At 38.5% G+C, this 14,700-nt stretch overlaps 1 annotated feature.

The window, feature by feature from the left end:
* Positions 1 to 14,700: part of a centromere (Linear centromere model derived predominantly from reads generated in PMID: 17803354. This region does not represent an actual centromere sequence, as long-range ordering of repeats and unmapped WGS contigs is not provided by the model. For details of model production, see http://arxiv.org/abs/1307.0035.) that runs on past both edges of the window.

Below are 14,700 nucleotides of genomic sequence, written 5' to 3'. Positions count from 1 at the left end.
CGTTAGAGCTATCCAAATATCCACTTACAGTTTCTACAAAAAGAGTGTTTCCAAACTGCTGCATCAAAAGAAAGGTTCAACTCTGTTAGTTGAGGACACACATCACAAAGAAGTTTGTGAGAATGCTTCCTGTCTAGATTTTGTATGACGATATTCCCTTTTCCAACGATATCGTTAAAGCAATCTAAATATCAATTTGCAGAATCCACAAAAATAGAGTTTCAAAGCTGCTCTGTAAAAAGAAAGGTTCCACTCTTTTAGCTGAGTACACACATCACAAACTTGTTTCTGAGAATCCTTCTGTCTAGTTTTTATGGGAAGATATTTACTTTTTCACCGTAGGCATCAAAGCGCTCCAAATGTCCACATCCAGATACTCCAGAAAGAGTGTTTCAAACCTGCTCTATGAAAGGGAATCTTCAACTCTATGAGTTGAATGCAGACATCAGAAAGAAATTTCTGAGAATGCTGCTGTCTACCTTTTATTTGAATTCCCGCTTCCAACGAAATCCTCCAAGCTATCCAAATATCCACTTGCATTTTCCACAAAAAGAGTGTTTCAAAACTAATCTATCAATAGAAATGTTCAACTCCTTTAGCTGGGTACACACATCACAAACAAGTTTCTGAGAATGCTTCTGTCTAGTTTTTATGGGAAGACATTCCCTTTTTCACCAAAGGCATCAAAGCGCTCCAAATGTCCACTTCCAGACACTACAAAAAGAGTGTTTCAAACGTGCTCTAAGAAAGCGAATGTTCAACTCTGTGACTTGAATGCAGATATCACAATGTAGTTTCTGAGAGGGCTTCTGTCTAGATTTTAGATGATGATATTCCCGTTTCCAACGAAATCATTAGAGCTATCCAAATATCCACGTACAGTTTCTACAAAAAGAGTGTTTCCAAACTGCTGCATCAAAAGAGAGGTTCCACTCTGTTAGCTGAGTACACACATCACAAACTTGTTTCTCAGAATCCTTCTGTCTAGTTTTTACGGGAAGATATTTACTTTTTCACCGTAGGTATCAAAGCGCTCCAAATGTCCACATCCAGATACTACAGAAAGAGTGTTTCAAACCTGCTCTATGAAAGGGAATCTTCAACTCTATGAGTTGAATGCAGACATCAGAAAGTAATTTCTGAGAATGCTGCTGTCTACCTTTCATTTGAATTCCCGCTTCCAACGAAATCCTCCAAGCTATCCAAATATTCACTTGCAGATTCCACAAAAAGAGTGTTTCAAAACTACTCTATCAATAGAAAGGTACAACTGTGTCAGTTGAGGACACACATCACAAACAAGTTTCTGAGAATTCTTCAATTTTTTATGGGAAGACATTTCCTTTTTCACCGTAGGCATCAAAGCGCTCCAAATGTCCACATCCAGATAGTACAGAAAGAGTGTTTCAAACCTGCTCTATTAAAGGGAATGTTCAACTCTATGAGTTGAATGCAAACATCAGGAAGAAATTTCTGAGAATGCTGCTGTCTAGTGTTTATATGAATTCCCGCTTCCAACGAAATCCTCAAAGCAATCCAAATATCCACTTGCAGAATCCACAAAAAGAGTGTTTCAAAACTGCTCTATCAATAGAAAGGTTCAACTCTTTTAGTTGAGTACACACATCACGAACAAGTTTCTGAGAATGCTTCTGTCTGGCTTTTATTGGAAGACGTTTCCTTTTCACCAAAGGCATCAAAGCGCTCCAAATGTCCACTTCCAGATTCTTCCAAAAGAGTGTTTCAAACGTGCTCAAAGTAAGGGAATGTTCAACTCTGTGACTTGAATGCAGATATCACCAAGTAGTTTCTAATAGTGCTTCTGTCTAGATTTTAGATGATGATATTCCCGTTTCCAACGAAATCGTTAGAGCTATCCAATAATGCACTTACAGTTTCTACAAAAAGAGTGTTTCCAAACTGCTGCATCAAAAGAAAGGTTCAACTCTGTTAGTTGAGGACACACATCACAAAGAAGTTTGTGAGAATGCTTCTGTCTAGATTTTGTATGACCATATTCCCTTTTCCAACGATATCGTTAAAGCAATCTAAATATCAATTTGCAGAATCCACAAAAATAGAGTTTCAAAGCTGCTCTGTAAAAAGAAAGGTTCCACTCTGTTAGCTGAGTACACACATCACAAACTTGTTTCTGAGAATCCTTCTGTCTCGTTTTTATGGGAAGATATTTACTTTTCCACCGTAGGCATCAAAGCGCTCCAAATGTCCACATCCAGATACTCCAGAACGAGTGTTTCAAACCTGCTCTACGAAAGGGAATCTTCAACTCTATGAGTTGAATGCAGACATCAGAAAGAAATTTCTGAGAATGCTGCTGTCTACCTTTTATTTGAATTCCCGCTTCCAACGAAATCCTCCAAGCTATCCAAATATCCACTTGCATTTTCCACAACAAGAGTGTTTCAAAACTGCTCTATCAATAGAAATGTTCAACTCCTTTGGCTGGGTACACACATCACAAACAAGTTTCTGAGAATGCTTTTGTCTAGTTTTTATGGGAAGACATTCCCTTTTTCACCAAAGGCATCAAAGCGCTCCAAATGTCCACTTCCAGACACTACAAAAAGAGTGTTTCCAACGTGCTCTAAGAAAGCGAATGTTCAACTCTGTGACTTGAATGCAGATATCACAAAGTAGTTTCTGAGAGGGCTTCTGTCTAGATTTTAGATGATGATATTCCCGTTTCCAACGAAATCATTAGAGCTATCCAAATATCCACTTACAGTTTCTACAAAAAGAGAGTTTCCAAACTGCTGCATCAAAAGAGAGGTTCCACTCTGTTAGCTGAGTACACACATCACAAACTTGTTTACTCAGAATCCTTCTGTCTCGTTTTTATGGGAAGATATTTACTTTTCCACCGTAGGCATCAAAGCGCTCCAAATGTCCACATCCAGATACTCCAGAACGAGTGTTTCAAACCTGCTCTATGAAAGGGAATCTTCAACTCTATGAGTTGAATGCAGACATCAGAAAGAAATTTCTGAGAATGATGCTGTCTACCTTTTATTTGAATTCCCGCTTCCAACGAAATCCTCCAAGCTATCCAAATATCCACTTGCAGATTCCACAAAAAGAGTGTTTCAAAACTGCTCTCTATCAATGGCAAAGTTCAACTCTGTTAGTTGAGGACACATATCACCAACAAGTTTCTGAGAATGCTTCTGTCTATTTTTTATGGGAAGATATTTCCTTTTTCACCGTAGGCGTCAAGGCGATCGAAATGTCCACTTCCACAAACTACAAAAAGAGTGTTTCAAACCTGCTCTATGAAAGGCGATGTTCATCTCTATGAGTTGAATGGAAATATCCGAAAGAAATTTCTGGGAATGCTGCTGTCTAGTTTTTATATGAATTCCCGCTTCCAACGAAATCCTCAAAGCAATCCAAATATCCACTTGCAGAATCCACAAAAAGAGTGTTTCAAAACTGCTCTATCAATAGAAAGGTTCAACTGCTTTTAGTTGAGTACACACATCACGAACAAGTTTCTGAGAATGCTTCTGTCTGGCTTTTATTGGAAGACGTTTCCTTTTCACCAAAGGCATCAAAGCGCTCCAAATGTCCACTTCCAGATTCTTCCAAAAGAGTGTTTCAAACGTGCTCGAAGTAAGGGAATGTTCTACTCTGTGACTTGAATGCAGATATCACCAAGTAGTTTCTAATAGTGCTTCTGTCTACATTTTAGATGATGATATTCCCGTTTCCAACGAAATCGTTAGAGCTATCCAAATATCCAGTTACAGTTTCTACCAAAAGGGTGTTTGCAAATTGCTGCATCAAAAGAAAGGTTCAACTCTGTTAGTTGAGGACACACATCACAAAGAAGTTTGTGAGAATGCTTCTGTCTAGATTTTGTATGACGATATTCCCTTTTCCAACGATATCGTTAAAGCAATCTAAATATCGATTTGCAGAATCCACAAAAATAGAGTTTCAAAGCTGCTCTGTAAAAAGAAAGGTTCCACTCTGTTAGCTGAGTACACACATCACAAACTTGTTTCTCAGAATCCTTCTTCAATTTTTTATGGGAAGACATTTCCTTTTTCACCGTAGGCGTCAAAGCGCTCCAACTGTCCACATCCAGATAGTACAGAAAGAGTGTTTCAAACCTGCTCTATTAAAGGGAATGTTCAACTCTATGAGTTGAATGCAAACATCACAAAGAAATTTCTGAGAATGCTGCTGTCTACCTTTTATTTGAATTCCCGCTTCCAACGAAATCCTCCAAGCTATCCAAATATCCACCTGCATTTTCCACAAAAAGAGTGTTTCAAAACTGCTCTATCAATAGAAATGTTCAACTCCTTTGGCTGGGTACACACATCACAAACAAGTTTCTGAGAATGTTTCTGTCTAGTTTTTATGGGAAGACGTTCCCTTTTTCACCAAAGGCATCAAAGCGCTCCAAATGTCCACTTCCAGACACTACAAAAAGAGTGTTTCAAACGTGCTCTAAGAAAGCGAATGTTCAACTCTGTGACTTGAATGCAGATATCACAAAGTAGTTTCTGAGAGGACTTCTGTCTAGATTTTAGATGATGATATTCCCGTTTCCAACGAAATCATTAGAGCTATCCAAATATCCACTTACAGTTTCTACAAAAAGAGTGTTTCCAAACTGCTGCATCAAAAGAGAGGTTCCACTCTGTTAGCTGAGTACACACATCACAAACTTGTTTCTGAGTATCCTTCTGTCTCGTTTTTATGGGAAGAGATTTACTTTCTCACCGTAGGCATCAAAGCGCTCCAAATGTCCACATCCAGATACTACAGAAAGAGTATTTCAAACCTGTCCTATGAAAGGGAATGTTCAACTCTATGAGTTGAATGCAGACATCAGAAAGAAATTTCTGAGAATGCTGCTGTCTACCTTTTATTTGAATTCCCGCTTCCAACGAAATCCTCCAAGCTATCCAAATATTCACTTGCAGATTCCACAAAAAGAGTGTTTCAAAACTGCTCTCTATCAATGGCAAAGTTCAACTCTGTTAGTTGAGGACACATATCACCAACAAGTTTCTGAGAATGCTTCTGTCTATTTTTTATGGGAAGATATTTCCTTTTTCACCGTAGGCGTCAAGGCGATCGAAATGTCCACTTCCACAAACTACAAAAAGAGTGTTTCAAACCTGCTCTATGAAAGGCCATGTTCATCTCTATGAGTCGAATGGAAATATCCGAAAGAAATTTCTGGGAATGCTGCTGTCTAGTGTTTATACGAATTCCCGCTTCCAACGAAATCCTCAAAGCAATCCAAATATCCACTTGCAGAATCCGCAAAAAGAGTGTTTCAAAACTGCTCTATCAATAGAAAGGTTCAACTCTTTTAGTTGAGTACACACATCACGAACAAGTTTCTGAGAATGCTTCTGTCTGGCTTTTATTGGAAGACGTTTCCTTTTCACCAAAGGCATCAAAGCGCTCCAAATGTCCACTTCCAGATTCTTACAAAAGAGTGTTTGAAACGTGCTCAAAGTAAGGGAATGTTCAACTCTGTGACTTGAATGCAGATATCACCCAGTAGTTTCTAATAGTGCTTCTGTGTATACTTTAGATGAAGATATTCCCGTTTCCAACGATATCGTTAGACCTATCCAAATATCCACTTACAGTTTCTACAAAAAGAGTGTTTCCAAACTTCTGCATCAAAAGAAAGGTTCAACTCTGTTAGTTGAGGACAGACATCAGAAAGAAGTTTCTGAGAATGCTTCTGTCTGGATTTTGTATGAAGATATTCCCTTTTCCAACGATGTCGTTAAATCAACCCAAATATCAATTTGCAGAATCCACAGAAATAGAGTTTCAAAGCTGCTCTGTAAAAAGAAAGGATCCACTCTGTTAGCTGAGTACACACATCACAAACTTGTTTCTGAGAATCCTGCTGTCTACCTTTTATTTGAATTCCCGCTTCCAACGAAATCCTCCAAGCTATCCAAATATCCACTTGCAGATTCCACAAAAAGAGTGTTTCAAAACTGCTCTCTATCAATGGCAAAGTTCAACTCTGTTAGTTGAGGACACATATCACCAACAAGTTTCTGAGAATGCTTCTGTCTATTTTTTATGGGAAGATATTTCCTTTTTCACCGTAGGCGTCAAGGCGATCGAAATGTCCACTTCCACAAACTACAAAAAGAGTGTTTCAAACCTGCTCTATGAAAGGCCATGTTCATCTCTATGAGTTGAATGGAAATATCCGAAAGAAATTTCTGGGAATGCTGCTGTCTAGTGTTTATACGAATTCCCGCTTCCAACGAAATCCTCAAAGCAATCCAAATATCCACTTGCAGAATCCACAAAAAGAGTGTTTCAAAACTGCTCTATCAATAGAAAGGTTCAACTCTTTTAGTTGAGTACACACATCACAAACAAGTTTCTGAGAATGTTTCTGTCTGGCTTTTATTGGAAGACGTTTCCTTTTCACCAAAGGCATCAAAGCGCTGCAAATGTCCACTTCCAGATTCTTCCAAAAGAGTGTTTCAAACGTGCTCAAAGTAAGGGAATGTTCAACTCTGTGACTTGAATGCAGATATCACCAAGTAGTTTCTAATAGTGCTTCTGTCTAGATTTTAGATGATGATATTCCCGTTTCCAATGAAATAGTTAGAGCTATCCAAATATCCACTTACAGTTTCTACCAAAAGGGTGTTTCCAAACTGCTGCATCAAAAGAAAGGTTCAACTCTGTTAGTTGAGGACACACATCACAAAGAAGTTTGTGAGAATGCTTCTATCTAGATTTTGTATGACCATATTCCCTTTTCCAGCGATAACATTAAATCAATCTAAATATCCATTTGCAGAATCCACAAAAATAGAGTTTCAAAGCTGCTCTGTAAAAAGAAAGGTTCCACTCTGTTAGCTGAGTACACACATCACAAACTTGTTTCTCAGAATCCTTCTGTCTCGTTTTTCTGGGAAGATATTTACTTTTTCACCGTAGGCATCAAAGCGCTCCAAATGTCCACATCCAGATACTCCAGAAAGAGTGTTTCAAACCTGCTGCTATGAAAGGGAATCTTCAACTCTATGAGTTGAATGCAGACATCAGAAAGAAATTTCTGAGAATGCTGCTGTCTACCTTTTATTTGAATTCCCGCTTCCAACGAAATCCTCCAAGCTATCCAAATATCCACTTGCATTTTCCACAAAAAGAGTGTTTCAAAACTGCTCTATCAATGGAAATGTTCAACTCCTTTAGCTGGGTACACACATCACAAACAAGTTTCTGAGAATGCTTCTGTCTAGTTTTTATGGGAAGACATTCCCTTTTTCACCAAAGGCATCAAAGCGCTCCAAATGTCCACTTCCAAACACTACAAAAAGAGTGTTTCCAACGTGCTCTAAGAAAGCGAATGTTCAACTCTGTGACTTGAATGCAGATATCACAAAGTAGTTTCTGAGAGGGCTTCTGTCTAGATTTTAGATGATGATATTCCCGTTTCCAACGAAATCATTAGAGCTATCCAAATATCCACTTACAGTTTCTACAAAACGAGTGTTTCCAAACTGCTGCTTCAAAAGAGAGGTTCCACTCTGTTAGCTGAGTACACACATCACAAACTTCTTTCTGAGAATCCTTCTGTCTCGTTTTTATGGGAAGATTATACTTTTTCACCGTAGGCATCAAAGCGCTCCAAATGTCCACATCCAGATACTCCAGAAAGAGTGTTTCAAACCTGCTCTATGAAAGGGAATGTTCAACTCTATGAGTTGAATGCAGACATCAGAAAGAAATTTCTGAGAATGCTGCTGTCTACCTTTTATTTGAATTCCCGCTTCCAACGAAATCCTCCAAGCTATCCAAATATCCACTTGCAGATTCCACAAAAAGAGTGTTTCAAAACTGCTCTCTATCAATGGCAAAGTTCAACTCTGTTAGTTGAGGACACATATCACCAACAAGTTTCTGAGAATGCTTCTGTCTATTTTTTATGGGAAGATATTTCCTTTTTCACCGTAGGCGTCAAGGCGATCGAAATGTCCACTTCCACAAACTACAAAAAGAGTGTTTCAAACCTGCTCTATGAAAGGCCATGTTCATCTCTATGAGTTGAATGGAAATATCCGAAAGAAATTTCTGGGAATGCTGCTGTCTAGTTTTTATACGAATTCCCGCTTCCAACGAAATCCTCAAAGCAATCCAAATATCCACTTGCAGAATCCACAAAAAGAGTGTTTCAAAACTGCTCTATCAATAGAAAGGTTCAACTCTTTTAGTTGAGTACACACACCACAAACAAGTTTCTGAGAATGCTTCTGTCTGGCTTTTATTGGAAGACGTTTCCTTTTCACCAAAGGCATCAAAGCGCTCCAAATGTCCACTTCCAGATTCTTCCAAAAGAGTGTTTCAAACGTGCTCAAAGTAAGGGAATGTTCAACTCTGTGACTTGAATGCAGATATCACCAAGTAGTTTCTAATAGTGCTTCTGTCTAGATTTTAGATGATGATATTCCCGTTTCCAACGAAATCTTTAGAGCTATCCAAATATCCAGTTACAGTTTCTACCAAAAGGGTGTTTCCAAATTGCTGCATCAAAAGAAAGGTTCAACTCTGTTAGTTGAGGACACACATCACAAAGAAGTTTGTGAGAATGCTTCTTTCTAGATTTTGTATGACGATATTCCCTTTTCCAACGATATCGTTAAAGCAATCTAAATATCAATTTGCAGAATCCACAAAAATAGAGTTTCAAAGCTGCTCTGTAAAAAGAAAGGTTCCACTCTGTTAGCTGAGTACACACATCACAAACTTGTTTCTGAGAATCCTTCTGTCTCGTTTTTATGGGAACATATTTAGTTTTTCACCGTAGGCATCAAAGCGGTCCAAATGGCCACTTCCAGATACTCCAGAAAGAGTGTTTCAAACCTGCTCTATGAAAGGGAATCTTCAACTCTATGAGTTGAATGCAGACATCAGAAAGAAATTTCTGAGAATGCTGCTGTCTACCTTTTATTTGAATTCCCGCTTCCAACGAAATCCTCCAAGCTATCCAAATATCCACTTGCAGTTTCCACAAAAAGAGTGTATCAAAACTGCTCTATCAATAGAAATGTTCAACTCCTTTAGCTGGGTACACACATCACAAACAAGTTTCTGAGAATGCTTCTGTCTAGTTTTTATGGGAAGACGTTCCCTTTTTCACCAAAGCCATCAAAGCGCTCCAAATGTCCACTTCCAGACACTACAAAAAGAGTGTTTCAAACGTGCTCTAAGAAAGCGAATGTTCAACTCTGTGACTTGAATGCAGATATCACAAAGTAGTTTCTGAGAGTGCTTCTGTCTAGATTTTAGATGATGATATTCCCGTTTCCAACGAAATCATTAGAGCTATCCAAATATCCACTTACAGTTTCTACAAAAAGAGTGTTTCCAAACTGCTGCATCAAAAGAGAGGTTCCACTCTGTTATCTGAGTACACACATCACAAACTTGTTTCTCAGAATCCTTCTGTCTCGTTTTTATGGGAAGATATTTACTTTTCCACCGTAGGCATCAAAGCGCTCCAAATGTCCACATCCAGATACTCCAGAAAGAGTGTTTCAAACCTGCTCTATGAAAGGGAATCTTCAACTCTATGAGTTGAATGCAGACATCAGAAAGAAATTTCTGAGAATGCTGCTGTCTACCTTTTATTTGAATTCCCGCTTCCAACGAAATCCTCCAAGCTATCCAAATATCCACTTGCAGATTCCACAAAAAGAGTGTTTCAAAACTGCTCTCTATCAATGGCAAAGTTCAACTCTGTTAGTTGAGGACACATATCACCAACAAGTTTCTGAGAATGCTTCTGTCTATTTTTTATGGGAAGATATTTCCTTTATCACCGTAGGCGTCAAGGCGATCGAAATGTCCACTTCCACAAACTACAAAAAGAGTGTTTCAAACCTGCTCTATGAAAGGCCATGTTCATCTCTATGAGTTGAATGGAAATATCCGAAAGAAATTTCTGGGAATGCTGCTGTCTAGTGTTTATACGAATTCCCGCTTCCAACGAAATCCTCAAAGCAATCCAAATATCCACTTGCAGAATCCACAAAAAGAGTGTTTCAAAACTGCTCTATCAATAGAAAGGTTCAACTCTTTTAGTTGAGTACACACATCACGAACAAGTTTCTGAGAATGCTTCTGTCTGGCTTTTATTGGAAGACGTTTCCTTTTCACCAAAGGCATCAAAGCGCTCCAAATGTCCACTTCCAGATTCTTCCAAAAGAGTGTTTCAAACGTGCTCGAAGTAAGGGAATGTTCTACTCTGTGACTTGAATGCAGATATCACCAAGTAGTTTCTAATAGTGCTTCTGTCTAGATTTTAGATGATGATATTCCCGTTTACAACGAAATCGTTAGAGCTATCCAAATATCCAGTTACAGTTTCTACCAAAAGGCTGTTTCCAAATTGCTGCATCAAAAGAAAGGTTCAACTCTGTTAGTTGAGGACACACATCACAAAGAAGTTTGTGAGAATGCTTCTGTCTAGATTTTGTATGACGATATTCCCTTTTCCAACGATATCGTTAAAGCAATCTAAATATCAATTTGCAGAATCCACAGAAATAGAGTTTCAAAGCTGCTCTGTAAAAAGAAAGGTTCCACTCTGTTAGCTGAGTACACACATCACAAACTTGTTTCTCAGAATCCTTCTGTCTCGTTTTTATGGGAAGATATTTACTTTTCCACCGTAGGCATCAAAGCGCTCCAAATGTCCACATCCAGATACTCCAGAACGAGTGTTTCAAACCTGCTCTATGAAAGGGAATCTTCAACTCTATGAATTGAATGCAGACATCAGAAAGAAATTTCTGAGAATGCTGCTGTCTACCTTTTATTTGAATTCCCGCTTCCAACGAAATCCCCCAAGCAATCCAAATATCCACTTGCATTTTCCACAAAAAGAGTGTTTCAAAACTGCTCTATCAATAGAAATGTTCAACTCCTTTAGCTGGGTACACACATCACAAACAAGTTTCTGAGAATGCTTCTGTCTAGTTTTTATGGGTAGACATTCCCTTTTTCACCAAAGGAATCAAAGCGCTCCAAATGTCCACTTCCAGACACTACAAAAAGAGTCTTTCAAACGTGCTCTAAGAAAGGGAATGTTCAACTCTGTGACTTGAATGCAGATATCACAAAGTAGTTTCTGAGAGTGCTTCTGTCTAGATTTTAGATGATGATATTCCCGTTTCCAATGAAATCATTAGAGCTATCCAAATATCCACATACAGTTTCTACAAAAAGAGTGTTTCCAAACTGCTGCATCAAAAGAGAGGTTCCACTCTGTTAGCTGAGTACACACATCACAAACTTGTTTCTTAGAATCCTTCTGTCTCGTTTTTATGGGAAGATATTTACTTTCTCACCGTAGGCATCAAAGCGCTCCAAATGTCCACATCCAGATACTCCAGAAAGAGTGTTTCAAACCTGCTCTATGAAAGGGAATCTTCAACTCTATGACTTGAATGCAGACATCAGAAAGAAATTTCTGAGAATGCTGCTGTCTACCTTTTATTTGAATTCCCGCTTCCAACGAAATCCTCCAAGGTATCCAAATATCCACTTGCAGATTCCACAAAAAGAGTGTTTCAAAACTGCTCTCTATCAATGGCAAAGTTCAACTCTGTTAGTTGAGGACACATATCACCAACAAGTTTCTGAGAATGCTTCTGTCTATTTTTTATGGGAAGATATTTCCTTTTTCACCGTAGGCGTCAAGGCGATCGAAATGTCCACTTCCACAAACTACAAAAAGAGTGTTTCAAACCTGCTCTATGAAAGGCCATGTTCATCTCTATGAGTCGAATGGAAATATCCGAAAGAAATTTCTGGGAATGCTGCTGTCTAGTGTTTATACGAATTCCCGCTTCCAACGAAATCCTCAAAGCAATCCAAATATCCACTTGCAGAATCCACAAAAAGAGTGTTTCAAAACTGCTCTATCAATAGAAAGGTTCAACTCTTTTAGTTGAGTACACACATCACGAATAAGTTTCTGAGAATGCTTCTGTCTGGCTTTTATTGGAAGACGTTTCCTTTTCACCAAAGGCATCAAAGCGCTCCAAATGTCCACTTCCAGATTCTTCCAAAAGAGTGTTTCAAACGTGCTGAAAGTAAGGGAATGTTCAACTCTTTGACTTGAATGCAGATATCACCAAGTAGTTTCTAATAGTGCTTCTGTCTAGATTTTAGATGATGATATTCCCGTTTCCAACGAAATCGTTAGAGCTATCCAAATATCCACTTACAGTTTCTACCAAAAGGGTGTTTCCAAACTGCTGCATCAAAAGAAAGCTTCAACTCTGTTAGTTGAGGACACACATCACAAAGAAGTTTGTGAGAATGCTTCTGTCTAGATTTTGTATGACCATATTCCCTTTTCCAGCGATATCATTAAAGCAATCTAAATATCCATTTGCAGAATCCACAAAAATAGAGTTTCAAAGCTGCTCTGTAAAAAGAAAGGTTCCACTCTGTTAGCTGAGTACACACATCACAAACTTGTTTCTGAGAATCCTTCTGTCTCGTTTTTATGGGAAGATATTTACTTTTTCACCGTAGGCATCAAAGCGCTCCAAATGTCCACATCCAGATACTCCAGAAAGAGTGTTTCAAATCTGCTCTATGAAAGGGAATCTTCAACTCTATGAGTTGAATGCAGACATCAGAAAGAAATTTCTGAGAATGCTGCTGTCTACCTTTTATTTGAATTCCCGCTTCCAACGAAATCCTCCAAGCTCTCCAAATATCCACTTGCATTTTCCACAAAAAGAGTGTTTCAAAACTGCTCTATCAATAGAAATGTTCAACTCCTTTAGCTGGGTACACACATCACAAACAAGTTTCTGAGAATGCTTCTGTCTAGTTTTTATGGGAAGACATTCCCTTTTTCACCAAAGGCATCAAAGCGCTCCAAATGTCCACTTCCAGACACTACAAAAAGAGTGTTTCCAACGTGCTCTAAGAAAGCGAATGTTCAACTCTGTGACTTGAATGCAGATATCACAAAGTAGTTTCTGAGAGGGCATCTCTCTAGATTTTAGATGATGATATTCCCGTTTCCAACGAAATCATTAGAGCTATCCAAATATCCACTTACAGTTTCTACAAAAAGAGTGTTTCCAAACTACTGCATCAAAAGAGAGGTTCCACTCTGTTAGCTGAGTACACACATCACAAACTTGTTTCTCAGAATCCTTCTGTGTCGTTTTTATGGGAAGATATTTACTTTTTCACCGTAGGCATCAAAGCGCTCCAAATGTCCACATCCAGATACTCCAGAAAGAGTGTTTCAAACCTGCTCTATGAAAGGGAATCTTCAACTCTATGAGTTGAATGCAGACATCAGAAAGAAATTTCTGAGAATGCTGCTGTCTACCTTTCATTTGAATTCCCGCTTCCAACGAAATCCTCCAAGCTATCCAAATATTCACTTGCAGATTCCACAAAAAGAGTGTTTCAAAACTACTCTATCAATAGAAAGGTACAACTCTGTCAGTTGAGGACACACATCACAAACAAGTTTCTGAGAATTCTTCTGTCTATTTTTTATGGGAAGATATTTCCTTTTTCACCGTAGGCGTCAAGGCGATCGAAATGTCCACTTCCACAAACTACAGAAAGAGTGTTTCAAACCTGCTCTATGAAAGGCCATGTTCATCTCTATGAGTTGAATGGAAATATCCGAAAGAAATTTCTGGGAATGCTGCTGTCTAGTGTTTATACGAATTCCCGCTTCCAACGAAATCCTCAAAGCAATCCAAATATCCACTTGCAGAATCCACAAAAAGAGTGTTTCAAAACTGCTCTATCAATAGAAAGGTTCAACTCTTTTAGTTGAGTACACACATCACGGACAAGTTTCTCAGAATGCTTCTGTCTGGCTTTTATTGGAAGACGTTTCCTTTTCACCAAAGGCATCAAAGCGCTCCAAATGTCCACTTCCAGATTCTTCCAAAAGAGTGTTTCAAACGTGCTCAAAGTAAGGGAATGTTCAACTCTTTGACTTGAATGCAGATATCACCAAGTAGTTTCTAATAGTGCTTCTGTCTAGATTTTAGATGATGATATTCCCGTTTCCAACGAAATCGCTAGAGCTATCCAAATATCCAGTTACAGTTTCTACCAAAAGGGTGTTTCCAAATTGCTGCATCAAAAGAAAGGTTCAACTCTGTTAGTTGAGGACACACATCACAAAGAAGTTTGTGAGAATGCTTCTGTCTAGATTTTGTATGAAGATATTCCCTTTTCCAACGATATCGTTAAATCAACCCAAATATCAATTTGCAGAATCCACAGAAATAGAGTTTCAAAGCTGCTCTGTAAAAAGAAAGGATCCACTCTGTTAGCTGAGTACACACATCACAAACTTGTTTCTGAGAATCCTTCTGTCTCGTTTTTATGGGAAGATATTTACTTTTCCACCGTAGGCATCAAAGCGCTCCAAATGTCCACATCCAGATACTCCAGAACGAGTGTTTCAAACCTGCTCTATGAACGGGAATCTTCAACTCTATGAGTTGAATGCAGACATCAGAAAGAAATTTCTGAGAATGCTGCTGTCTATCTTTTATTTGAATTCCCGCTTCCAATGAAAACCTCCAAGCTATCCAAATATCCACTTGCAGATTCCACAAAAAGAGTGTTTCAAAACTGCTCTATCAATAGAAATATTCAACTCCTTTC

Source organism: Homo sapiens, chromosome 13 (genome assembly GCF_000001405.40).
Source record: "Homo sapiens chromosome 13, GRCh38.p14 Primary Assembly".
NCBI classification, from domain to species: Eukaryota; Metazoa; Chordata; class Mammalia; order Primates; family Hominidae; genus Homo; species Homo sapiens.
The sequence above is the reverse complement of the archived record's forward strand: the minus strand, read 5'-3'. Positions and strand labels throughout refer to the sequence as shown.